The sequence below is a fragment of the Homo sapiens genome, chromosome 3, assembly GCF_000001405.40.
Source record: "Homo sapiens chromosome 3, GRCh38.p14 Primary Assembly".
In the NCBI taxonomy this organism is placed as follows: Eukaryota; Metazoa; Chordata; class Mammalia; order Primates; family Hominidae; genus Homo; species Homo sapiens.
Window position 1 is genome coordinate 136,987,366 of NC_000003.12, and position 27,425 is coordinate 137,014,790.

General features: G+C 44.3%; 1 protein-coding gene across 5 annotated transcripts in view, besides 3 other annotated features; it reads left to right on the plus strand.

Moving 5' to 3' along the window:
- IL20RB (interleukin 20 receptor subunit beta) overlaps positions 1-23,720 on the plus strand; it is a 53,103-nt gene extending 29,383 nt beyond the window's left edge. For all 5 annotated transcript variants that reach the window (XM_011512911.3, NM_144717.4, XM_011512910.4 and 2 more), the window contains exons 4-7: positions 2,076-2,200; positions 4,573-4,723; positions 8,049-8,191; positions 22,748-23,720. In XM_011512911.3, coding sequence (XP_011511213.1) covers positions 2,076-2,200; positions 4,573-4,723; positions 8,049-8,191; positions 22,748-22,858 — 530 coding nt within the window. In that variant the 3' untranslated portion in view covers positions 22,859-23,720. The remainder of the gene's footprint in view (positions 1-2,075; positions 2,201-4,572; positions 4,724-8,048; positions 8,192-22,747) is intronic.
- Positions 7,542-7,836: a silencer, noted in NCBI's record as "tiled region #14292; HepG2 Repressive non-DNase unmatched - State 24:Quies". NCBI's record gives its function as "represses a minimal TATA promoter and a strong SV40 promoter by Sharpr-MPRA in HepG2 cells {active_cell/tissue: HepG2}" and the evidence as "EXISTENCE:reporter gene assay evidence [ECO:0000049][PMID:27701403]".
- Positions 19,696-20,197: an enhancer, noted in NCBI's record as "H3K27ac hESC enhancer chr3:136725903-136726404 (GRCh37/hg19 assembly coordinates)". NCBI's record gives its function as "activates a minimal SCP1, AML or CMV promoter by ChIP-STARR-seq in naive H9 embryonic stem cells {active_cell/tissue: H9 hESC(naive)}" and the evidence as "EXISTENCE:reporter gene assay evidence [ECO:0000049][PMID:30033119]".
- Positions 26,413-27,425: a transcriptional cis regulatory region, noted in NCBI's record as "candidate enhancer chr3.4045 targeted for multiplex CRISPR interference". NCBI's record gives its function as "positively regulates MSL2 gene expression in K562 cells {active_cell/tissue: K562}" and the evidence as "EXISTENCE:mutant phenotype evidence [ECO:0000015][PMID:30612741]".

Genomic DNA, 27,425 nt, shown 5'->3' on the forward strand with positions numbered 1-27,425 from the left:
GTGCACTCACAAACCCTGAGCTAGTAGACACAGGGTGCTGATTGGTGTGTTTACAAACTTGAGCTAGAGACAGAGTGCCCATTGGTGTATTTACAATCCCTGAGCTAGACATAAAGATTCTCCAAGGCCCCACCAGACTCAGGAGGCCAGCTGGCTTCACCCAGTGGATCCCGCACCAGGGCTGCCGGTGGAGCTGCGTGCCAGTCCTGCGCCCTGCGTCCGCACTCCTCAGCCCTTGGGTGGTCGATGGGACTGGGCGCCGTGGAGCAGGGGGTGGCGCTCATCGGGGAGGCTCGGGCCGCACAGGAGCCCATGGAGGGGGTGGGAGGCTCAGGCATGGCGGGCTGCAGGTCCCGAGCCACGCCCCACGGGAAGGCAGCTAAGGCCCGGTGAGAAATCTAGCACGGCGCCGGTGGGCTGGCACTGCTGGAGGACCCAGTACACCCTCCGCAGCCGCTGGCCCGGGTGCTAAGCCCCTCATTGCCGGGGCCGGCAGGGCCGGCCGGCTGCTCCGAGTGCGGGGCCCACCAAGCCCACGCCCACCCGGAACTCCAGCTGGCCCGCAAGCGCCGCGTGCAGCCCCGGTTCCAGCTCGCGCCTCTCCCTCCACACCTCCCTGCAAGCTGAGGGAGCCGGCTCCAGTCTTGGCCAGCCCAGAAAGGGGCTCCCGCAGTGCAGCGGTGGGCTGAAGGGCTCCTCAAGTGCGGCCAAAGTGGGAGCCCAGGCAGAGGACGCGCCCAGAGTGAGCGAGGGCTGTGAGGACTGCCAGCATGCTGTCACCTCTCACACTGACCCCAGGGAAGGCAGATTTAGCCCAGAACATGCCCCACCCCTTTCCAATCCAAGACCAGTGATCAGGGTGGCCCTTCTGGTCCTGCAGTATCTGGGTCTGAAAGGCAAGTATAACTCCATCACCAGTAACCAGGGTGTAGAGACTATCTGTGTGGGCCCTTCTGTTCTTGGTCTGCTGATGGGAAGGTATCCACAAGGGCTGTGGGCCTCTCTGCTGGGGACCTTGCAATATGGAAGATGATGTTTGTACTTATGCTGTAATTTCTAGAGTTGATTATTGGAATCTGTAAAAAGCCTGTGGGCTGGGCACATTGGCTCACTCCTGTAATCCCAGCACTTTGGGAGCTCGAGGTGGGCGAACTGCTTGAGTCTAGGAATTAGAGACCAGCCTGGGCAATGTGGTGAAGTCCCATCTCTACAAAAAATACAAAAAACATTAGCTGAGTGCGGTGATGTGTGCCTGTAGTTCCAGCTACTTGGGAGGCTAAGGTGGGAGGATTACCTGAGACTGAGAGTTCGAGGCTGCAGTGAGCCATGATAGTGCCACTATACACTCCAGCTTGGGTGACAGAGTGAGACCCTGTCTGAAAAAAAAAGAAACAAGAAAAAAAAAAGCCGGTGACTTGCCAGCTGAGAACTGGGCTGAGAATAGAATGGCCAACCCTATTCACAGGCTGCTCATCTGCTGATATGTGAAAGTTATCAGTAGCCAGTACATGCCACAGATCTGTGTGAGCTGTGGGAATGCACATGGCCCTGCCAGGTATGCTCATTCCTAAGGGGCAAAGACTGGGGCTGGCTGTTCAGTATAGACCTGAGCTCACATAGGCATTTGGCAAGCATTAAAATATAGCATCTGCTCACTTAGATGAGCCAAAGTGAGGAGCAATTTCTGCTGAAAAAGTGGTGACAGGAGGGGCATGGATCATAAAATTTTAAAAGAGCAAGAGATAATGTTTACTGGAGTTTTTAATCACTTTTCTTGTGTATATGTGCCTCCTGGAGAAGGAACAGTGGACTTTATTAAAGGATTAAAAAAGAAGAGAATTATAGCATTTGTCATTTGTTTCTTCATTTATTCATCACTCAAAAAGCATTTACTGAGCACCTGCTGCATACAGGAGAGTATTTGTGTACATGTTTCCATGAGCTTGAAGCTACAGCAGACTCCCTTCCTCTCCTACGGAGACGGACATATTTCCATACATGACCCGGTCATTGTGTTCCAGGGAAATCAACCCTGTCTGGGGCTGGCTTTGACTCTCCTGTTGTCTTGCCAACAGCCATCCTTACCCGACCTGGGATGGAGATCACCAAAGATGGCTTCCACCTGGTTATTGAGCTGGAGGACCTGGGGCCCCAGTTTGAGTTCCTTGTGGCCTACTGGAGGAGGGAGCCTGGTGCCGAGGTGAGACTCCAGCCTTGGCCTTTGGGTCAGGCTTCGGGAAAGAAGGCACAGATTTCTGAGGGTGAGCAAGGGAAGGCTGCCCCTGCTCACTGGGTGACCTGGGGATGAGCAGTCCTGGGTGAAGTGTGCAAAAGATGAGTATGCTGACCACCCCATCAGCCTCTTCTCCAAAGAACTTCCTTGGTCCATTCAATCATGCCTTGGCTGGGAGCATTTCCAGGCCAGATCTGCTGAAGTATGGGGCTGCCCCCTTACCCTAAACTCTAACATAGTTGGACCACAATATCTTTTCAATGCCTTTTTTCTCCCTCATCAGCTCATCTCCTCAGCCACTTAGGGGCAGCAATCAGGATTTGTAGATCAACAGGATGATTTCAAAAGCACACAACGCTGGTACAAACCTCCTGAGGGTGTGTGTCTTGGCAGGGTGAAGAGGTAGAGGCAGGGATCCAGGAGTTGGCTTATGAGTAAACCCATCTAACTATGAGCAGGTGGGCCATGCAGAATGCTCAGGTGGGGTGCTGCCCTCCCCATGGGAAGGGTGCTACAGCCTGGGATGGGTGGGAGGCCAGCCCTCACAGAGGGAATAGCCAGACAAGCAGCAGCAGTATGAGGAGTGGAGCACGATCAGGAACTAGGGGACACTCAGACCTGTGGAGCCTCTGTCCAAGCATATGATGACAAAGCTTAGAGGCCCACTCCAGGCAGCACAAGCAAAGATAGGCTTTATCACAAGGACTAATACGGTGCAATAAGGAGCTCTCACAGATCTATAAACAGCTGGCAGAGGGCCAGGCTCCAGCCTCACTTACCCAGGGCCCTTGCTCCCCTCTGGTGGGTCCCTGCTCTTGCACACTTTCTATGGCCCTTTCCTAGCTTATTCCAGGCTGTGATCCCTCATCAATGCTTCCTACTCATGCCTATGATGTGCCCCCAGCCTCTCGAGGCCTCTCAGGCCTGACTTCTCCTCACTGTGTCCTCTCTCCTTTGTCCCTGCTTCTAGCTCTCGGTATTCAGTTTCCCAAGACCAAATCCTCAGAAGAAGAATCCAATTGGTCTTGCTCGTCTTATCAGGCCAAGCTTCAGGGGTTGCTGGTAGCCAGCTCGCCTCTGATTGGACCCTTCTCAGGCCAAGGGTACCCTTGATCTTATAGCAGTATCTGGACTAAGAGCACATGCCTCACCACCCATTCAAAGAGGGCTGTAGGTTGGGTAGCTTCCCATGAAAGGTGGTGTGGGCAGGTACAACACTGGGTTTCGGTATTTACCCCTGCTAGGCAAGAGCCCACGGTAGGATATGGCATTGCCAGCCAGGCAGATGGAGTAGTGTTGGGGACAGGGCAGAGCCTGTGCAGGAGGAAGCATGCAGCTCCCTCAGATTCGCTGGGATGGAGCCCACTACCCACCTTTGGTAACTGGCAGGGCCAGGGCTAAGAGGGGAGCATGTACCCTGAGTCATCTAGGCTTGGTCCAGGCAAGCCTCCACAGGATCAGATGCAGAGCACAGCCTCAGGGAGGGGCATGGAGGTGGAAGGGTGAACAGACGGATGGACAGATGGGTGGATGAGTGAGGAGGTGCTGCCCGTGGCTCCACTGCACACTGATTCCTTGGCAGCAGTGGCCATGCCAAGCCCCTGCTCAAGTCAGGGTCTCTGCACAAATGTTACCCTATCAGAGAAGCCTTCTCTAACCACTCTGTTTAAGATGGTGCCTCCTCGTTACCATCTCTTTGCTCTGCTTTTTCCTTCACAGTCCTTGTCACCACCTGATGTGTATTTTTTTATAGTCTGTTTCACCCCATGTAAGCCCCATGAGAGCAAGGACTTTGTCCATTTTGTTCAATGCTAGGTCCCTGTGCTTAGAGCAGTGCCTAGCACATAGTAGGTACTTAATAAATATGATTGAATGAATGAGTGCCTGAATGAATGTATGTGTGAGAGGGAACATTCTGTGTGCATCTGGAAAGGAAGTATCTGCAACTTTCCTTCCCTGGCACTTTTTGCCCTTTCCAGTCCTGCTGCCTTCTGGGAATAACTGCTTTCTTTTTATCTTTTATTTTTTGAGACAGAGTCTCGCTCTGTCGCCCAAGCTGGAGTGCAGTGGCACGATCTCGGATCACTGCAACTTCTGCCTCCTGGGTTCAAGTGATTCTCCTGCCTCAGCCTCCTGAGTAGCTGGGATTACAGGCACCCACCACCATGCCTGGCTAATTTTTTATTTGTAGTAGAGATGGGGTGTTTCACCATGTTGGTCAGGCTGGTCTTGAACTCCTGACCTCAGGTGATCCGCCCGCCTCAGGCTCCCAAAGTGCTGGGATTATAGGCGTGAGCCACCGCACTTGGCCAATAACTGTGTTTTCTGGTCTGTCAAAGGAACATGTCAAAATGGTGAGGAGTGGGGGTATTCCAGTGCACCTAGAAACCATGGAGCCAGGGGCTGCATACTGTGTGAAGGCCCAGACATTCGTGAAGGCCATTGGGAGGTACAGCGCCTTCAGCCAGACAGAATGTGTGGAGGTGCAAGGTAAGGATGGCTTCTCTGTCCCTGGAGCCCTGCACAGGTGATAGCCCCTCCTGGCATATCTCAGAGGCCTGCTGGGTTCCTTTGGTTCTGAGTTTTTCCTTGATTTCACTGACCTCCCTCATGGACTGGGTGGGTTCCCATAGTGAAATTATGTTTGTGAATCTGATTCCCCTAGAGGCAGGAGTCCACCCTGGGGCTGGGTGGGGTTACGAGCAGCTGTCTGAAACACTTTCCCCCTTAAAGCTTCCTAGGCCTGGGGGCCAGGTGTTGCAAGACTGGTTTACCAGATGGTTACTGCCTGTGAATCAGAGTGGGCTGCAGGAGAGGCAGCCACAGGCTTCAGAGGGTCAGACCTTGGAAGGAGGTGCTACGTTGTATAACACCACAGCCTTCTTCATCTGGAAGGGACCTTATGGAAAGCCTAGAGAATCCTCTTGTTTGAATTACTCTTTTCCCTTGAATATTTTAAGGTCAGAAAACCTACAATGTTTAAAAACCCTTTGAAAAGAAGCAAAACCAAACAAGAGCCTACATCCCATGATCTGTCACTCAAACATCACTAGTTACATTTTTGTGTATAGCCTTTTAGTCTTTAAAAATAGAACTATTTTTTTAAAAAGACGAATTATTATCTTAATTATATAGTATATTTATTTATTTATTTTTCTTTCTAAAAAAATTTATTTTGTTTCATATGTAGAGACAAGGTCTTGCTCTGTTGCCTGGGCCTTGGCCTCCAAAGAGCTGAGATTACAGGTGTGAGCCACCATGCTCAGCTCATTTAGGGCATCATCCTTCAGTCATTGCCATGTGTAGGCACATGCTGTAGTCCTATAACATACACATTTTGTGCCTGCTTTTTCACAAATATCATATCCATAACATTTTTCATGCAGATTTCCTGATTACTATTTTATGCTACTTTATAAAATCATACAAGTCAAGCTTGCTTAACAATCCAAACAACACCAAAGCATATAAAGTAAGAGGAGGGCCAGGCATGGTGGCTCACACCTGTAATCCCGGCACTTTGGGAGGCTGAGGCAGAAGGATTGCTTGAGCCCAGGAGTTCAACACCAGCCTGGGCAACATAGCGAGACCTCGTCTCATTTTAATAAATAAATAAAGAGGTGAGTGTGCCCCATTCTCCTGCACATCACTCAGGAGGTTTCCGTTGGTGAGTCTGGCGTTTAATCTTCCAGGCGTTGTCTGTGTGGTACCAATGCTCACACACATAGATGGGATGATATTGTACCTACTACTCTGTACTTGGCTTGTCTTCACTCAGTAGTATATTGTGAACATCTTTTCATGTCAATACATATGGATCTACCTCATTCTTTTTTATTATACTTTAAGTTCTAGGGTACATGTGCACAAAGTGCAGGTTTGTTACATATGTATACATGTGCCATGTTGGTTTCCTGCACCCATTAACTCGTCATTTACATTAGGTATATCTCCTAATGCTATCCCTCCCCCAACCCCCACCCCATGACCGGCCCCAGTGTGTTATGTTCCCCGCTGTTTGTCCAAGTGTTCTCATTGTTCAGTTCCCACCTATGAGTGAGAACATGCAGTGTATGGTTTTCTGTTCTCGCGATAGTTTGCTCAGAATGATGGTTCTCCCTCATTTTTAAAGAGCCAGGTGTGGTGGCTCATGCCTGTAATCCTGGCACTTTGGGAGGCCGAGACAGGTGGATCACCTGAGGTCAGAAATTTGAGACCAGCCTGACCATTGTGATGAAACCCTGTCTCTACTAAAAATACAAAAATTAGCCAGGCATGGTGGTGCACGTCTGTAATCCCAGCTACTGGAAAGGCTGAGGCATGAAAATCGCTTGAACCCAGGAGGCAGAGGTTGCAGTGAGCCGAGATTGCGCCACTGCACTCCAGCCTGGGTGACAGAGCAAGACTGTCTCAAAAAAAAAAAAAATCTATATGTCAATATATGTAAATGAAAGGCTGTTGCTCTAGTTCAGATGTTGCTAAGAACTGACTTATGTATATAGTTGTTTCCTTCCTTGGAATTAGTTTTTGGAATTAAAATTTCAGGAGTTGGGGAGAAGTGAGGATATGGGCACGAAAAAAACAGAAAGAATGAATAAGACCTACTATTTGATAGCACAATAGGATGACTATAGTCAACAATAACCTAATTGTATATTTTAACATAACTTAAAGAGTGTAATTGGATTGTTTGTAACTCAAATGATAAATGTTTGAGGGGATGGCTACCTATTCTCCATGATGTGCTTATTTCACATTGCATGCCTGTATCAAAACATCTCATGTACCCCATAAATATATACACCTACTATATACCTACAAAAATTAAAAATAAAAAATTGCAGGAGTGGATGAAAGGGTATGAACACTGGTGTATCTCTTGATGCATACCACCAAAATATTTTCCAAAATCATGGAAACAATGTACAGTGCCCCCAGCCACAAGTCCACCAGCTTCTCCAGTCTCATTGACTGGGCTACCCTTCACATTGCAGGTGAGTAGCCTGGCCCAGAGAGGCTAATGGAGTTGCTCAAGGTTACATAGAACTGAGAGATGGGAAAATAACCTGTCCCCTCTTCTGCATCTCCAGATGCTCAGATCGGGCCTTTTCTGCTACAATTATTTGGTAGAATGACTGTGAGCTTTGGAGCCAGTCCTACCTGGGTAACCTGGGGTAGCTCACTTAACCATTCTGAGCATAGATTCCTCTTCTATAAAAGCAGGGATACTCACACTCATTGTGAAGAACAAGCAACTACACGTCCAGCCCCCAGCATAGTTCTGGAAGGCAGTAGTAGCCCTAGCCTACAAAATAGGGGCTTGATATATTGTAGTTATTTTCTGACTGTTTTCTGAACAATTTCCTCCATAACATGAATCAATGCCAAGAGTGAATTGTGAAACACACTTTGTTTTCAGTTACCGCCCAGCCCCATTCTGTGCTGTTCTCTTTCAATACCTCCCCCTCATCCTGCCCAGGGCTTGGCACTCTGCCTTCCTCCTGGCAGTGGTGCCAAGGTACGTGCTAACACAGCAATTGGCTTAACACATGATACTCCTCCCTTTTGTGTCACAAGGAAAAGATTTTAATCTTCCCTGGGGCTTTCTGGAAACCATGCCTTCATCTGGATTCTAGAAAAATGCTTTTAATGGTGGTAATTTTGGTCACTAGGGCACACATCAAATCTCAGGATTCTGTTATCTGCCGTCTTAGCCAATGTGCAGAGTCAACTCCAGGAAACCGGGGGAGGCTCAGGATTGAAGTTTTAATCTTTGCTGCTGTTTTCTAAGCCTGTTTTTATCTTTTGTTTCCAGGAGAGGCCATTCCCCTGGTACTGGCCCTGTTTGCCTTTGTTGGCTTCATGCTGATCCTTGTGGTCGTGCCACTGTTCGTCTGGAAAATGGGCCGGCTGCTCCAGTACTCCTGTTGCCCCGTGGTGGTCCTCCCAGACACCTTGGTAATAGAGTAGTTCTTTATTCCTTTCAGTATAACACTGACCAGATGTAGTTTGGGCCTTAGCTGGGCATGGGCACATGTTTCCATGTTTCTATCATGAGATTATAGGCATCTGCACAGAGAGGGGAGAGGAATACTTATAAAATACTTCATTTCTAACTAGAGGTACTGGAAGAAATCTCCCTTCTCCAGGGCGTGGTGACCTTCCTGAGGCAAGCCACTTCTGCTTTCTCCCAGGACCTGGGATGGCAAAGAGAGAAGATGTGTTGCCCAGCCCAGGATGCTCAGCATTGCAGGAGTCACTCATGGTCTTACCCTCCCAGACTGGCCTGCTGAGCATTCTTGGCCTCTTCCCACAATTGTAACAGCAGCTACACCCAATAACATGTTCCAACCCAACTTATTCAATTCACATGCCAAAAGCCTCATTGTTCTCAGAGTGAAGAAGATGTACATGGGAGGCATGGACTGTGTTTTGATTTTGGTGGGGTAGGGTGGGGTGAAGGGACAGCAACCTGGACCTTGATAGTGACTGCCTGAGTTAGGGGACCCTACCTGTATTCTCAGATCCTCATGAGGTCAGAATTCTTATCTTACTCCTGAGGGCCCTGGACCACAGGTCTGGGTCTCTCCAGTGGGTATAGGACCCATGCACCCATGCAATCGTAGGGGAAACACAAAAGCAGGCCTCCAACAGCTCCCCCATGTTCTCTGGCTGCCTCTCCAGATGTTTCCCGCCAACCCCCAGACCTCAACCACACAAAGCAGTGCAATAAAACAAAACAAAACAAAAACAACAAAAACAAAATCAAAAAGCCCCATCCCTGTCACCCTAGGGAATTCTCACAGTTCTCTCCTGGGAAGAGGGAGCCAGTGTCAGCTTCTGAAAAGCAACTAAAGCCAGAACTACCTGCAACTTATACATGCCCATAGCTCCTTATCAGCCTGGAGTCACTCTTTCTGAAAGGAGTCATCCTTGTGACATCCCTGTGGCCCTGCTTTCTCTCCCTAAACAGGAGGAATAATTCTTACTATAATTCAGTCTTCAGGACACCCCTCCACTCTGTTATCCTAATGCCAGATCTCCCTTCTTTCCCATACTTCCAGGTAGTCATAACGATGTTAGCTGATACTAGTACAGAGCTAAGTGCCAGATACTGTTCTAAGGCTTTATATTTATTGACTCATTTCTTTTCATAAAGCTTGGCAGTGTCCTTTTTATCAGTTCCCCCTCCATCCTTCTCTGAATCACGAATGGCTTACTGCTATGCATAAAGGCAATGGGATATATCATACCCTGGGAAACAGGGTGGGCCTTTATTACCCTTTAGCAAGAACGTGAGGGTCTCAAAGTACCTTGAAGCATAAAAGGATATGTATTCTGCAGTTATTGGGGAAGTGTTTTATATATATCAATTAGGTCAAAATGTTTCGTGGTATTGTTCAGATCATCTTTGTCATTTTTTTTTGTATAGTTGTTTTAATATTGAGAGTAGGATATCAAAATGCCACCGAGTGTGGGCATATCTGTTTTTCTCTCTCTCTCTCTTTTTTTTTTTCGAGACGGAGTTTCGCTGTCATCGCCCAGGCTGGAGTGCAGTGGCGCAATCTTGGCTCACTGCAACCTCCGCCTTCTGAGTTCAAGCAATTCTCCTGCCTCCTGAGTAACTGGGATTACAGACGCCTGCCACCACACCCATCTAATTTTTGTATTTTTAATAGAGACAGGAGTTTCACCATGTTGGCCAGGCTGGTCTCAAACTCCTGACCTCATGATCCACCCACCTTGGCTTCTCAAAGTGTTGGGATTATAGGCGTGAGCCACTGCACCTGGCCTGTTTCTCTCTTTATGTCAGATTTTCCTTAATGTATTTCGAGGCTCTGTTTTAAGTGTATTCATATTTTGACATTTAAATGTATTCAGATTTTGTTATGATTTTCCAAGTAATGGAGTCTTTTATCATTATGATATGTTCTTCTTTACCTCTGGTAATATTCCTTAGTGTGATATCAGTATATCTTTTTTTTTTTTTTGCTCACTGTTTGTATGGTATATCTTTTTTATTTTTTTACATATTTTTACTTTAAATCTATCTGTATATTTATATTTAAGGTGTGTCTCTTATAGACAGCATATAGTCAGTCTTTTCTGTTATAATTATTTTTTGGTATAAATCCATTCTGACAACCTCTGCCTTTAAATTGGTATTTTTAGTCCACTAACTTTTTTTTTTTTGAGACGGAGTCCCACCCTGTCACCCAGGCTGGAGTACAGTGGCATGATCTCGGCTCACTGCAACCTCTGCCTCCCGGGTTTAAGGAATCCTGACTCAGCCTCCTGAGTAGCTGGGACTACAGGTGCATGCCCCCACACCCGGCTAATTTTTGTATTTTAGTAGAGACAGGGTTTCACCATATTGATCAGGCTGGTCTTGAATTCCTGACCTCAGGTGATCCACCCGCCTTGGCCTCCCAAAGTGCTGGGATAACAGGTGTGAGCCACTGTGCCTGGCCTCCATTAACATTTAATATAATGATTGATATGGTTGAATTTAGGTCCATGATTTTCTTTTCTTTTTTTTTTTTTTTTTTCCCCTCTGTTCTTTTTCTGCCTCTTTTTGGGTTAATTAAAAATTTTTTTTGAATTTCACTTTAGTGACTTTTTAGTTATTCTTCTTCACATTACTTTTTCATGGTTGTCCTAAGAGTTACAATATACATATTCTTAACTTTTCACAGTCTACTTAGAGTTAATATTATATCATTTCACATGAAATGTAAGAATTTTGGAATAATTTTTGCTTTATATAGTCATATATATTTTTAAGGTATTTAAAATAATCTTTTATATTTACCCACATATTTACCATTTCTGGAACTCTTTCTTCTTTTCTGAGATCTTTATTTCCATCTGGTGTGGGCTTCCTGTCATTTTATAAAACTTCTTGACTTTTTTTAATTATAGGTTTAGTAATGTAGATCTGCTAGTGACAAATTCTCTTTGATTTTTTTTATCTGAAAATGTCTTTATTTTGCTTTCATTCTTGAAGGATATTTTTGCTGGATTCTTGGTTGGCAATTTTTTCTTACTATATTTTCATTTTAAATATTAATTATAATATTTCAAAAATAATAACATTTTATTTTAATAAAGATGGCATCTTGCTATGTTGCCCAGGCTAGTCTGGAACTCCTGGGCTTAAACAATCCTCTTTCTTGGCCTCCCAAAGTGCTGGGATGACATGTGCGAGAGCCACTGCACCCAGCTCTTACTACTTTAAAAGTATTGTTTAATTGTCTTCTAGCTTACATTGTTTTTGATAAGAAAACATCCATGATTTTTTTAACATCATTCCCCTATGTGAAATGTGTTCTTTTTCTCTTGCTGGTTTTAAATTACCATTGGCTTTCACCAGTTAAATTATAACATGCCTAGATGGGGTTTGCATTATATTTATCTTGCTTATAGTATACTGAGCTTCTTGAATCTGTACATGTATATATTTTTAAGCTACAATTTGGAAAATTTTCAGCCTTTTTTTTTCTTTTTATTTTTTTAGAGACAGGGTCTCACTCTGCCACTCAGGCTGGAGTGCAGTGGCATGATTATGGCTCACTGCAGCCTCGACCTTCTGGGTTCAAGTGATCCTCCCACTTCAGCCTCTTGAGTAGTTGGGACTACAAGCATGTGACAGAGCAACCAGCTAATTTTTAAATTTTATGTAGAGACAGGGTCTTGCTATGTTGTCCAGGTTGGTCTTGAACTCCTGGCTCAAGCAATCCTCCTGCTTTGGACTCCCAAAGTGCTGGGATTATAGGCATGAGCCACTGCACCTGGCCACAGCTAATTATTTTATTTTTTTGTAGTGATGGGGTTCTCCCTATGTTTCCCAGGCTGGTCTGGAACTCCTGGGCTCAAGTGATATCCTTCCGCCTTGGCCTCCCAAAGTGTTGGGCTTAACAGATATGAGCCACTGCTCCCAGCCCATATTTCTTCAGGTATTTTTTTTTTTTTTGTCTCATTCTCTTCTCTCCTTCTGTGAGTCCAATCTTATTTATATTAGACCTTCAGATATTGTCTCCATAGATACCTGAGACTCCATTCATTTTTATAAAAAACTTCTTTTCCTCTTCTTTATTCTTCAGATTGAATAATTTTATTAACCTATCTTCTTGTTCACTGACTCTTCTGTTATCACCAGTCTGATTTTAGGCACGTCTAGTGAATTTTGTATTTAAATTTCAGATATTGTGTTTTTAAATTCTAGAATTTCCATTTGTTTCTTTTTTATAGTAAATATTCTCTGCTGAGATTTTCTATTTGGTCATTTATTATGAGAATATTTTCTTCTGTCTTTGAGCATCATTATAAATACCTTTGTCTGCTTTACTTTAAAATCTTTGCTAATTTCACCAGGTGGGTCATGTCAAGGTTGGCCTCTATTGATCGTTTTTTATTTGGTGTAGGTCACATTTTCCTATATTTTGTATGTCTAGTGATTTTGGATTACAGTCTGGATATTGCCAACAATATGTTATAGAGATTTTGGATTCAGTTATGTTCCTCTGAAAACTATTGATTTTTTTTGTTTGTTTATTTGCTTTAGTAAGCAGTTAGTTTAGAAGAAAGACTCAACTTTGGTCTCCTATGCAGTAGGCAGTTGATATCTATTAGACTGTTTAGCCTTAGACAGACTGGTAGGAGCTTTCCCCACACCTGTACCTCACACAGTTCAAAGGTCAATCAGATATTTGGGCAGAATTTATGTACAGAATTGCAGCTCCCCTTTTCTGGCTCTCTCCTTTTTGGGATTTTTCCTCTTACTTTCTAACTTCTGTGTTTGCACCAGTCTCTGTTTTTTGGCTTTTCAAAAACAGTAAGACTATGGCACCAAGTGGGACCTGCCTTTAGGCAAGGAGCTGTGAAAAATGGGAAACTCACCCAGTGACATTCCCTTCTTCCAAGCATGAACTTTTAGTTGCTCTACCATGATTTAAGGAATCTGTTTTTAATATTTGGGTCAGTTTTAAAAGTTGTAATCTGAGGAGTGTTGGTCTGATTGGTGCTCTCCTGACATAAGTGGAAGTAGAAACCTGCAATAAAAGAGGAATCCCTTGACCTAATCCAAAGCGATGGTAATGGTAGGGAGCATTTCTGGCTGAGGCATATCAATAGCTCTTCTTTCTCATACGTGGTGAAAAGCTCAGCCTTCCTCAGCTGGGCTCCATCAGATGGTCTTCTGTTGTGATTTCTCTCTGAACTCTGCTGCCCATGCTTACTCTTACAGGCAACTACACTCTTAACACTCTCTCTTATGTTTTCTTTACTAGTTCTATCAGGGGGCCAGAAGAGTTTTTCTCTCTACCTCAAGATCAGGGGAATGAAGATCTTCCCAAGACCCAGTGCCTTGTTAGTGAGGAACAGGGTAAAGAGACAGGGAAAGAACCATGTAAAGGGTTAATAACTTACAGGATTTCAGGTACACAAGAAGAGTCCTCAACAGCTAAGATCTCCTAGGAATCCTGATGTATCATGAGCCACACCCTAAAATCAGCTTTTGGAGAAAACGAAATAGCTTAGATGAGACCAGAGACTGGAAGACTCTGTGACAGTATGACCAATTTCATCCATGGCAGATAGACGTCACTACCCTTGACTACCTTTTGCTTCCCTGTTCTCTGTTACCATTCTTCCTACATCATTCTGATGTCTGTTCCTACGTGCATTCCCTTCCGTAAGGCTTTTAACTTTTATCCTTACTTCACGCTAAGATTTTTAAAGTGGACAAATTCTCTGAGTCTATGCATTTCCCCACAGTGCTGTGTGAGAAGCAGATCACTAGCGTCCATTGAATCCCGCACAAATTCTTGAGCTGTGAATCAATACTGCCACCTCCCCTCTCTCCGCTATGACTTTAGCATAGCCTAGCTGCATTTCTACATGTGTGTTACTTACAGATACTACCCCAAACTATTAAAAAGTGATTTCTAGCCATCCTTGCAAAGTCAACTCATCTTTCCAACTAAACCATGGAAAATTACCAATCAGAAATCCTTGACAATTCTTCAAAAGGGTCTACTGAGTTTGTGTTTAATTTATCTGTATGGACGAAACATTTCATGTCTACGTCTAAAATTTTATAGTAGGTGATGGTTGCACTCTGAAATATGACATTAAGAATTTTTTCCATTAAAGTTTATATCACCAAGTAATAATCTTTTATTATTATTATTATTATACTTTAAGTTCTAGGGTACATGTGCACAACCTGCAGGTTTGAAACATAGGTATACATGTGCCATGGTGGTTTGCTGCACCCATCAACTCATCATTTACACTAGGTATTTCTCCTAATGCTATCCCTCCCCCAAGTCCACCTCCTGACAGGCCCCGGTGTGTGATGTTCCCTGCACTGTGTCCAAGTGATCTCATTGTTCAATTCCCACCTATGAGTGAGAACATGCGGTGTTTGGTTTTCCGTCCTTGTGATAGTTTGCTGAGAATGATGGTTTCCAGCTTCATCCATGTCCCTGCAAAGGACATGAACTTGTCCTTTTTTATGGCTGCATAGTATTCCATGGTATATATGTGCCACATTTTCTTAATCCAGTCTATCATTGATGGACATTTGGGTTGGTTCCAAGTCTTTGCTATTGTGAATAGTGCCACAATAAACCTATGTGTGCATGTGTCTTTATAGTAGCATGATTTATAATCCTTTGGGTATCTACCAGGTAATGGGATTGCTGGGTCAAATGGTAACTATATTTCTAGATCCTTGAGGAATTGCCACACTGTCTTCCACAATGGTTGAACTAATTTACACTCCCACCAACAGTGTAAAAGTGTTCCTATTTCTCCATATCCTCTCTAGCATCTGTTGTATCCTGACTTTTTAATGATTGCCATTCTAACTGGTATGAGATGGTATCTCATTGTGATTTTGATTTGCATTTCTCTGATGACCAGTGATGATGAGCATTTTTTCATGTGTCTGTTGGCTGCATAAATGTCTCCTTTTGAGAAGTGTCTGTTCATATCCTTTGCCCACTTTTTGATGGTTTTTTTTTTCTTGTAAATTTGTTTGAGTTCTTTGTAGAATCTGGATATTAGTCCTTTGTCAGATGGGTAGATTGCAAAATTTTTCTCCCATTCTGTAGGTTGCCTGTTCACTCTGATGGTAGTTTCTTCTGCTGTGCAGAAGCTCTTTAGGTTAATTATATCCCATTTGTCTATTTTGGCTTTTGTTGCCATTGCTTTTGGTGTTTTAGTCATGAAGTCCTTGCCCATGCCTATGTCCTGAATGGTATTGCCTAGGTTTTCTTCTAGGACTTTTATGGCTTTAGGTCTAACATTTAAGTCTTTAATCCATCTTGAATTGATTTTTGTATAAGGTGTAAGGAAGGGATCCAGTTTCAGCTTTCTACATATGGCTAGCCAATTTTCCCAGCACCATTTATTAAATAGGGAATCCTTTCCCCATTTCTTGTTTTTGTCAGGTTCATCAAAGATCAGATGGTTGTAGATGTGTGGTGTTATATCTGAGGTCTCTGTTCTGTTCCATTTGTCTATATCTCTGTTTTGGTACCAGTACCATGCTGTTTTGGTTACTGTAGCCTTGTAGTACAGTTTGAAGTCAGATAGTGTGATGCCTCCAGCTTTGTTCTTTTGGCTTAGGATTCTCTTGGCAATGCGGGCTCTTTTTTGGTTCCATATGAATTTTAAAGTAATTTCTTCCAATTCTGTGAAGAAAGTTATTGGTAGCTTGATGGGGATGGCATTGAATGTATAAATTACTTTGGGCAGTATGGCCATTTTCACGATATTGATTCTTCCTATCTATGAGCATGGAATATTATTCCATTTGTTTGTGTCCTCTTTTATTTCGTTGAGCAGTGATTTGTAGTGCTCCTTGAAGAGGTCCTTCACATCCCTTGTAAGCTGGATTCCTAGGTATTTTATTCTCTTTGTAGCAATGGTGAATGGGAGTTCACTCATTATTTGGCTCTCTGTCTGTTAACGGTGTATAGGAATGCTTGTGAGTTTTGCACATCGATTTTGTATCCTGAGGCTTTGCTGAAGTTGCTTATAAGCTTAAGGAGATTTTGGGCTGAGACGATGGGGTTTTCTAAATATACAATCATGTCATCTGCAAACAGGAACAATTTGACTTCCTCATTTCCTAATTGAGTACCCTTTATTTCCTTCTCTTGCCTGCTTGGCCTGGCCAGAACTTCCAACACTATGTTGAATAGGAGTGGTGAGAGAGGGCATCCTTGTGCTGGTTTTTAAAAGGAATGCTTCCAGTTTTTGCCCATTCAGTATGATATTGGGTGTGGGTTTGTCATAAATAGCTCTTATTATTTTGAGTTACGTTCCATCAGTACCTAGTTTATTGAGAGTTTTTAGCATGAAGGGCTGTTGAATTTTGTCAAGGGCCTTTTCTGCATCTATTGAGATAATGGTGTGGTTTTTGTCTTTGGTTCTGTTTATGTGATGGATTATGTTTATTGATTTGTGTATGTTGAATCAGCCTTGCATCCCAGGGATGAAGCTGAGTTGATCGTGGTGGATAAGCTTTTTGATGTGCTGCTGGATTTGGTTTGCCAGTATTTTATTGAGAATTTTTGCATTGATATTCCTCAGGGATATTGGTCTAAAATTCTCTTTTTTGTGTGTATGTCTCTGCCAGGCTTTGATATCAGGATGATGCTGGCCTCATAAAATGAGTTAGGGAGGAATTCCCTCCTTTTCTATTGATTGGAATAGTTTCAGAAGGAATGGTACCAGCTCCTCTTTGTACCGCTGGTAGAATTCGGCTGTGAATCCGTCTGGTCCTGGACTTTTTTTGGTTGTTAGGCTATTAATTATTGCCTCAATTTTAGAGCCTGTTATTGATCTATTCAGAGATTCAACTTCTTCCTGGTTTAGTCTTGGGAGGGTGTATGTGTCCAGGAATTTATCCATTTCTTCTAGATTTTCTAGTTTATTTGCGTAGAGGTGTTTATAGTATTCTCTGATGGTAGTTTGTATTTCTGTGGGATCGGTGGTGATATCCCCTTTATCATTTTTTGTTGCGTCTATTTGATTCTTCTCTCTTTTCTTCTTTGTTAGTCTTGCTAGCAGTCTATCAGTTTTGTTGATCTTTTCAAAAAACCAGCTTCTGGATTCATTTATTTTTTGACGGGTTTTTTTGTGTGTCTCTCTCTTTCAGTTCTGCTCTCAACTTAGTTATTTCTTGCCTTCTTCTAGCTTTTGAATGTGTTTGCTCTTGCTTCTCTAGTTCTTTTAATTGTGATGTTAGGGTGTCAATTTTAGATCTTTCCTGCTTTCTCTTGTGAGCATTTAGTGCTATAAATTTCCCTCTGCACACTGCTTTAAATGTGTCCCGGAGATTCTGCTACGTTGTGTCTTTGTTGTCATTGGTTTCAAAGAACATTTTTATTTCTGCCTTCATTTCGTTATTTACCCAGTAGTCATTCAGGAGCAAGTTGTTCAGTTGCCATGTAGTTGTGTGGTTTTGAGTGAGTTTCTTAATCTTGAGTTCTAATTTGATTGCATTGTGGTCTGACAGACAGTTTGTTGTGATTTCTTTTCTTTTACTTGCTGAGGAGTGCTTTACTTCCATTTATGTGGTCAATTTTAGAATAAGTGCGATATGGTGCTGAGAAGAATGTGTATTCTATTGATTTGGGGTGGAGAGTTCTGTAGATGTCTATTAGGTCTGCTTGTTGCAGAGCTGAGTTCAGGTCCTGGATATCCTTGTTAACCTTCTGTCTCGTTGATCTGTCTCATATTGACAGTAGGCTGTTAAAGTCTCCCATTATTATTGTGTGGGAGTCTAAGTCTCTTTGTAGTTCTCTAAGGACTTGCTTTATGAATCTGGGTGCTCCTGTATTGGGTGCATACATATTTAGGATAGCTAACTCTTCTTGTTGGATTGATCCTTTTACTATTATGTAATGGCCTTCTTTGTCTCTTTTGATCTTTGTTGGTTTAACGTCTGTTTTATCAGAGACTAGGATTGCAACCCCTGCTTTTTTTTCGCTTTCCATTTGCTTGGTAGATCTTCCTCCATCCCTTTATTTTGAGCCTATGTGCATCTTTGCATGTCAGATGGGTCTCCTGAATACAGCACACTGATGGGTCTTGACTCTATCCAATTTGCCAGTCTGTGTCTTTTAATTGGGGCATTTAGCCCTTTTACATTTAAGGTTAATATTGTTATGTGTGAATTTGATCCTGTCATTATGATGTTAACTAGTTATTTTGCCCATTAGTTGATGCAGTTTCTTCCTAGCGTCGATGGTCTTTGCTATTTGGCATGTTTTTGCAGTGGCTGGTACTGGTTGTTCATCTCCATGTTTAGTGCTTCCTTCAGGAGCTGTTGTAAGGCAGGCCTGGTGGTGACAAAATCTCTCAGCATTTGCTTGGCTGTAAAGAATTTTATTTCTCTTTCACTTATGAAGCTTAGTTTGGCTGGATATGAAATTCTGGGTTGAAAATTCTTTTCTTTAAGAATGTTGAATATTGGCCACCACTCTCTTCCGGCTTGTAGAATTTCTGCCAAGAGATCTGCTGTTAGTCTGATGGGCTTCCCTTTGTGGGTAACTTGACCTTTCTTTCTGGCTGCCCTTAACACTTTTTCCTTCATTTCAACCTTGGTGAATCTGACAATTATGTGTCTTGGGGTTGCTCTTCTTGAGGAGTATCTTTGTGGTGTTCTCTGTATTTCCTGAATTTGCATGTTGGCCTGCCTTGCTAGGTTGGGGAAGTTCTCCTGGATAATATCCTGCAGAGTGTTTTCCAACTTGGTTCCATTCTCCCCAACACTTTCAGGCACACCAATCAGACATATATTTGGTCTTTTCACATAGTCCCATATTTCTTGGAGGCTTTGTTCACTTTTTTTTTTAACTCTTTTTTCTCTAACCTTGTTTTCTCACTTTATTTCATTAATATGATCTTCAGTGACTGATATCCTTTCTTCCACTTGATCAAATCATCTACTGAAGCTTGTGCATGCGTCATGAAGTTCTCGTGCCATGGTTTTCAGCTCCATCAGGTCATTTAAGGTCTTCTCTACACTGTTTATTCTAGTTAGCCATTTGTCTAATCTTTTTTCAAGGTTTTTAGCTTACTTGTGATGGGTTCCAACATCCTCCTTTAGCTTGGAGAATTTTGTTATTACCGACCTTCTGAAGCCTACTTCTGTCAACTCGTCAAAGTCATTCTCCATCCAGCTTTACTCCATTGCTGGCGAGGAGCTGTGATCCTTTGGAGGAGAAGAGGTGTTCTGATTTTTAGAATTTTCAGCTTTTCTGCTCTGGTTTCTCCCCATCTTTGTGGTTATATGTACCTTTCGTCTTGATGTTGGTGACTAGAGATGGGGTTTTGGTGTAGATGACCTTTTTGTTGATGTTGATGCTCTTCCTTTCTGTTTGTTAGTTTTCCTTCTAACAGTCAGGTCCCTCAGCTGCAGGTCTATTGGAGTTTGCTGGAGGTCCACTCCAGACCGTTTGCCTGGGTATCACCAGTGGGGGCTGTAGAACAGCAAATATTGCAGAACAGCAAATATTGCTGCCTGATCTTTCCTCTGGAAGCTTTGTCGCAGAGGGGCACCTGCCTGTATGAGGTGTCTGTCAGCCCCTACTGGGAGGTGTCTCCCAGTTAGGCTACACGGGGGTCAGTGACCCACTTGAAGAGGCAGTCTGTCTGTTCTCGGAGGTCAAATGCTGTGCTGGGAGAACCACTGCTCTCTTCAGAGCTGTCAGACAGGGACGTTTAAGTCTGCAGAAGTTGTCTGCTGCCTTTTGTTCAGCTATGCCCTGTCCATAGAGGTGGAGTCTAGAGGCAGTAGGCATTGTTGAGCTGTGGTGGGCTCCGCCAAGTTCGAGCTTCCTGGCTGCTTTGTTTACCTACTCAAGCCTCAGCAATGGCAGATGCCCCTCCCCAAGCCAGGCTGCCACCTCGCAGATTGATCTCAGACTGCTGCGCTAGCAGTGAGCAAGGCTCCATGGGCATGAGACCTGCCGAGCCAGGCACGAGAGAGAATCACCTTGTCTGCCAGTTGCTAAGACCTTGGGAAAAGTACAGTATTTGGGTGGGAGTGCCCCATTTTTCCAGGTAGTCTGTCACGGCTTCCCTTGGCTAGGAAAGGGAAATCCCCTGGCCCCTTGTGCTTCCCGGGTAAGGCGATGCCCTGCCCTGCTTCAGCTCGCCCTCTGTGGGCTGCACCGACTGTCCAACCAGTCCCAATGAGATGAACCAGGTACCTCAGTTGGAAATGCAGAAATCACCCATCTTCTGCATGGCTCACACTGGGGGCTGCAGACTGGAGTGTTTCTATTCAGCCATCTTGGAACGCAATCCCACCAAGTAAAAATCTAAAGCAAAACTATATATGGAAGGAAAATTATATTAATTCTGCCCAGTATATAGTCTCTGTTTAAAAATATAATTTATTTTCTTTGTCTTGCACCTGTATTTGCTTCATGGGAATGGGTGCTTTGGTGCTGAAGGGTCTCAGTTTCCTTTCTGTGACTCACTTTATTCTTTCTCTTCTTGCTGTCACATTCTGCTGTAATGTAGGTAGCAAGCATAAAGATGGTCCCAAATTAGTAATTCTTCAATGAACCGTCCAAGTATGACCTTGCATGCTTCATAGAAAGTGGAGTTTGTGAACTCAGATGCCTCTGAGTCCACACAGGCTCTGGAAAGAAGAAAAAAAAGCAAAAGGAAAGAACTTGCAGTGCAATGAATGTAACTCAATAGGGAGGGGGATGGGGATCATGGCAAATATGTTTCATCTTCTCAGCGACAGCAGGTTGCTACCAAGAGGAAGTGTGAGCCAGTGCTGCCAGATCTCCAAGTTTTAAATGAGAAGCCCAGAAATCTAGATTTTTATGAGAAATCTCTTGATTTTTAAATGTTGAAAACTGATTCCGATTTTATAAAATATGCTGAGCTTTGCTTGAAAATTAGTTCTAAACTGTGGGACCACAGTTTTGCACCTTCCAAAATTCTGAGATTATGATGTTTGTTTTACATTAATGTGCTAGAACTGCACTGTCTAATACAGTAGCCACTAGTCATATCTGTTAGACAGTAGAAATGTGGCTCGTCCAAATTGAGATGTATTTTAAATATAAAATATGGAATGGATTTTAAAGGCAGAATAAAACAAGAATATAAAATATTTCAGTCATTTTTTAAGTGACGTGTTAAAATGATAATATTTTGGATATATTTGTTAAATAAAATATATTATTAAAATTAGTTCCACCTGTTTCTTTTTACTTTTAAAATGTGCTACGAGATTTTAAAAATTGCATATGTGATTCACATTATATTTCTATTGGACAGCACTGTTCTGGAATTTAAAAAATGATCATGTATGACCACTGCAGATGTAGGGAGTTAGTGTCCTGAGAATCTGACTGCACCAGCAGCAGCGAGCCAATGGGCTTCACACTAACACCCCCGCTTAGTGAATGCTGCTGTGTGTTGCCTCTTCCTGTTGGCATTTGCCCATGGACACCAAGAGTGAGCCTCTGTGGCTGCCTCTTTGCAAACAAGGATGAAGGGAGACTGGCTCAATGAAGCTGATGTCTCCTGAGGAACTGAGGTGGAGGAAACCATTGTGCCTATTTGTGCCCAGATGGTACCCTTGGGAGTGATGAGGAGAAGGGCCGAGAGAGATAACTGTAGAAGAACCTAGAGATTTTGGCAGAGGTGAGCAGGCGAGTAATAGGTGGGAGAGTCCACCTGAAAAGTTGATGTCTGCATGTTTATAACTAGTAATGATTGTGTACTGGGGCCACTGAAAGAAGATGGCGGGAACCTGAAATATGAGCAAGGAAGGGACTCCCATTTATGGAACATCCTCTCTGTATTGGGCACCATGCTAGGTGCTGTTCATAAAGCATCTCAGACCAGGTCATAATTCTCAGAGCTCTGTGGTGGAAGAAGGTTAGGGTTTTGTTGTTGTTGTTGTTGTTGAGACAGGGTCTTGCTCTGTTACCTAGGCTGGAGTGCAGTGGTGTGATCAGAGCTTAACTGCAGCCTTGACCTCCCAGGCTCAATTGATCCTCCTGCCTCAGCCTCACGAGTAGCTGGGACCACAGACATGTGCCACCATGCCTGGCTAGTTTATTTTTTGTGGAGAGGGAGCCTTGCTATGTTGCCCAGGCTGGTCTCTAAGTCCTGGGCTCAAGCGATCTGCCTGTTTCAGCCTCCCAAGGCAGGTGTGAGCCATTGCACCTGCCTTTAATTTTTTTTTTAAGAACCAGAATTACATTCTGGGTTTTTGTGGGGCAGGGTCTTAGAATGAGGAACTCTGACCAAGCAGGGCTTCAAGGGAACTGTAGGGTAGTGAACTGGGAGATATTCTTAGCAAATGTTGGAAGCCCCTGATCTAGGGCTTGAAATTGTTTTTTGGTTTTTGTTTTTGCTGCTTGGAAATTAATTAATCAAATAGTTAAAAATGTAATAATATTCTTTAGTATTACTACTACTGCTATCCTCTAATGAATATTAATGAAAATTATTTTTCAGAAAATAACCAATTCACCCCAGAAGTTAATCAGCTGCAGAAGGGAGGAGGTGGATGCCTGTGCCACGGCTGTGATGTCTCCTGAGGAACTCCTCAGGGCCTGGATCTCATAGGTTTGCGGAAGGGCCCAGGTGAAGCCGAGAACCTGGTCTGCATGACATGGAAACCATGAGGGGACAAGTTGTGTTTCTGTTTTCCGCCACGGACAAGGGATGAGAGAAGTAGGAAGAGCCTGTTGTCTACAAGTCTAGAAGCAACCATCAGAGGCAGGGTGGTTTGTCTAACAGAACACTGACTGAGGCTTAGGGGATGTGACCTCTAGACTGGGGGCTGCCACTTGCTGGCTGAGCAACCCTGGGAAAAGTGACTTCATCCCTTCGGTCCTAAGTTTTCTCATCTGTAATGGGGGAATTACCTACACACCTGCTAAACACACACACACAGAGTCTCTCTCTATATATACACACGTACACATAAATACACCCAGCACTTGCAAGGCTAGAGGGAAACTGGTGACACTCTACAGTCTGACTGATTCAGTGTTTCTGGAGAGCAGGACATAAATGTATGATGAGAATGATCAAGGACTCTACACACTGGGTGGCTTGGAGAGCCCACTTTCCCAGAATAATCCTTGAGAGAAAAGGAATCATGGGAGCAATGGTGTTGAGTTCACTTCAAGCCCAATGCCGGTGCAGAGGGGAATGGCTTAGCGAGCTCTACAGTAGGTGACCTGGAGGAAGGTCACAGCCACACTGAAAATGGGATGTGCATGAACACGGAGGATCCATGAACTACTGTAAAGTGTTGACAGTGTGTGCACACTGCAGACAGCAGGTGAAATGTATGTGTGCAATGCGACGAGAATGCAGAAGTCAGTAACATGTGCATGTTTGTTGTGCTCCTTTTTTCTGTTGGTAAAGTACAGAATTCAGCAAATAAAAAGGGCCACCCTGGCCAAAAGCGGTCTTTAAAGTTCTAGTTACATTTTCAACCTCAAGTCCAGAGAGGCTCCAAAGGATACCTTTGGTCAAGAGGACTCGGGGTGGGGGTGGGGGTGGGGATGGGAGCAGCGGAGGAGCAGCCCCAGAAGTCCAGAGCCCAGGGCTGCCTGGTTGGGGGCAGCCTCTGGCTGCATGAGAACCCCAACTGAGGCAGCTGGCATAAGCTTCGCCTGGTTAGGTGCTCCTAAGCCTTTCCTGTTGGCCCCACCCCACAGGAAATCCCTGGGGAACCCTCTTTTCCTTGACAGCTTACTCAGGGTATCCCCAGCCCCTCTTAGTCTGCTCATTTAGGACCTACCTCTGGAAGCTTCTACCCACCCCTTTGCCCCACCAGGTGAAGAAAAGAGCCAACCACAGAGAAGGAATGATGGGAGGAAACTTCTTGAGGGGTGAAGGGATTGATGGGCAGGGCCTGCGCCTTGCTTTCTAACCCCCTCGAAGCTCTGGAGCCTCCAAGTTGGTTTATCTTCACCCTCACTTCCTGGGCCCTTTCCAGCCAGCCCAGTGGTGGGACAGTCTAACTGCATCAACTGGGTGTTTCCCCAGAGGCCCACAGCCCTTCACCACCTGGAGGGGTCTCTCCAGGAGCATGAGATCGCTCAAGACCCGTTCCTTCTTTTCCTTTGTGTTATTTTGTATGCTTCTCTGTGTTGTTCGTTAGAGGGTGTGTGCTAATTTTATATTTGACCTAAACTAGAAACACACTTTCAGTTTGCAAAAACAAAGACCATATTACTATTCCAGTCATCACCCTCCCTCCTCTCTCTTCCTGCCCCCTTATGGTGGGGTGGTGGGGGGCACTATCCTTCTGTCACAGCCCAGGCGCAGAACTGAGAAAGGACCCTGACCTCCATCTGCTTGAGTCTCTCACAACTATTCCCAGTGCCCATCCATTTTTTGGCATCTATAGGTACACAGAGATTTCTCTTGATTCTTCTGTTGTCTCCCCTTGCCCTGAATGTGCATTTATGGAGCCCCAGCCATGCACCCGACCTGCCAGCCCCCATTGGTGGAGGGGCTGCCTCCTCTACAGCTGGCTGTTCCCTCTCCCCTGGAGCACTTCTATCCCAAGTCCCCAGGCCTCCTCCCTGCCCCTCCAATGCATTTATCCCTACATCTGGACACTTACATGAGTGAAAAGGAATGTGATTAGTAATTACGGCAGGACCACAGCTGTAAATCGGGACTCCTCTGGGCAAACCAGGAGCCAGGTCACTCTCATCATAAGGCACAGCTTCCTGCCACATTCTTTTTCTAGAAGCTCCAACCCTCCAGATGCCCAGTCACTGAGTCCAGGGGCTCAGGCTCAGCACTACTGGCTTGCTTTGTTTTCACAGTTTCTCATTGAGTCCTGTGGGAATTGGGGGAAGTACTTGTGTGTGTGTGTTGTGGGGGGATAAGTATTTGGGAGCAGCCTAGAGTGGCTTCTGCTGTTTCACTGAAGACTGTCTCTTGCAGGCCAACCCAGTAGAGTCCCCTGAGCCCCCAGAATCAAGCCCAGCTTTCTTAGTCCTGCCTTTAGGGTGCAACTGCCAGGGTCCAGTGAATAAAATCCCTGCTCCATGAGGCTTACATTCCAATGGGGTAAGGGAGAAATAATAACACAATAACAGTATTATTATTCAGTGAATTATTTAGTATATTGGGAGTTTGTAAGTCACGGTAAAATGAAAAAGTAGAGCAGAAAACGGGGGCTGGGGGCAGGTTGCAGCCTCTTCAAAATGAAAGTGGATGGAAACAATGGACCCAGAACTACCTGTCAGATAAGTCCCTGCATAGCCACATGGTGTGAGATATTATGAGAGATTCTAGAACAAAGTAATTTGGCAACAAATCCGTAGGTGTATGTAGTCTAAAACAAAAACTTTATTGAGTATTTATCCCTTTGTATTGATAGTGTATTTTTGCAACTATTATCTTATCAGATAAAGCAAGTAAATAATATATATTTTGTATATTTTGATAAGAATCTAGATTTTAGGATTAGTGACAAGGAAGGCTAATTTTAGGATCCCAAATTTGACTAAGAACAGGGCACTGTTGGAACTGAATCAAACATATTAATATGAAGTCATGTCTTTATGAAACATGACATTAAAAATATTTTGACTTTTTTCCACTGAAATGGCCCAGGAGAAATGTCACCTCCACAATGCATCTTAATGCTAAGATTTTGGTTTCTAGTGTTAGTTTTCTCCCAAAGGAGCCAAAGTTTCTTGGAGCAGTAATGGATGCCATGTCAGTTTGGAGTTGAAAGGTACAAGGTAATCTTAAAACACCTATACCTTTTTGAGACAGAAAGCAAAGCATTAAATAAGGGTCATTCAAAATTACACAAGGAACAATCTATACAGGGCTCCTCCTGGCCAAAGTTGGGACAATATAAGCACCAGAAGGAGAATATTGGCTGGCACAATTGATACCATATATTTGAAAAGTCATCAGTCCATGACACCCAAGAAGAGCGAAGCTACCATAATGCATTCTCAGAGAAGATGAATCTAATAGAATGCATTTCTACTTGTTATTCAATCGTGTTGGGCTTATCGACTCGTTTATCGTGTCAATGAGGAATACCAGTAAATGTAAATCCATCAGTCAGAAGGCATTTTTTCTCCTCTAAAGGCTCCTCTCCGCCCCTTAACGTCCAGTCTTTCCCCACTTGGCTCTCCCTGTCCTGTCAAGGGGTTCGGTGGAAAAGTCTTTTAAGTTCCCTTCACAGAAGAATTGTAGACTCTGCCGGTCTAGTCTCTGGGCCAACCCTCCCCGTCTCTTTAGTAAAGATGTTTTTTATTATTTTCCTTGTGCCGTGTATTATCCTTAGGCTAGAGTAACTTTCCGGGCCTGCAGACCTCTTGGTTTCCTTTCAATCTGGAGGACTTGATCCCATGGCCAGCTTCGGAGCTCACCAGGAGGGGAAGACCCATTACATCCACGGGCGTCTGGCGCCACCTTGTGGTCAGTGCTGAAAATGTTTTCTGTTCCCACTCGCAATGAAACTCCCTGGGCTTCCTGGATGAAGAAAGGAAAGCTCAGGTCGGTTTCCTAGAATAATAACTCAGTTACACAGTTTCCACGGGCTTGGTCCTTAACAAACCTCCACTGTCACTGGTGGAGTTAGAATTTAGCAGCCACCTTCTCCTCGCTCTGTGTCTGTATCTGTCCCGAGCTCATGGTTTGGGGCTTCACGCTGTACCCACGGCTCTCGCTCTTTTCTGGGACCTTGGCCTCTCGCACTCTCCTGTCTGTTGATCTTTCCACCATGCTGCCATTCCCTACCTCTCGGAAATAGACTTTTTTTGGATGTCTTTTTGTTTTCCTTCTGTGTGACCTATTTGTAGGATCCCTTTACTAGACTGACTTTCCAGGAGTGTTCCTCAGCCCCCGCACAGATCAGTAGGGAGGAGCCTGCCTGCTGCTTGCTCATGCTAAACCAGCGTGCTGCCCAGCCTGTGAAGTTTGGAACTGGAACACTAGAGTTGGCCCCAAATTACAGCTTTCTCTTCTGGCTCCTGGGACTCCCAGTTTCTTCAGCAACAACAACAAAACCTGGAAAAACGTATCCTTGCCAGAGGTGGGAGAATGAGGCTCACAAAAGGAAAACACGGACCTTTCTTGTCTCCCCCAGTGAGAGGTTGCAAGATCAGGTTGTAAAACCCCATTAAGGAGGACCTTA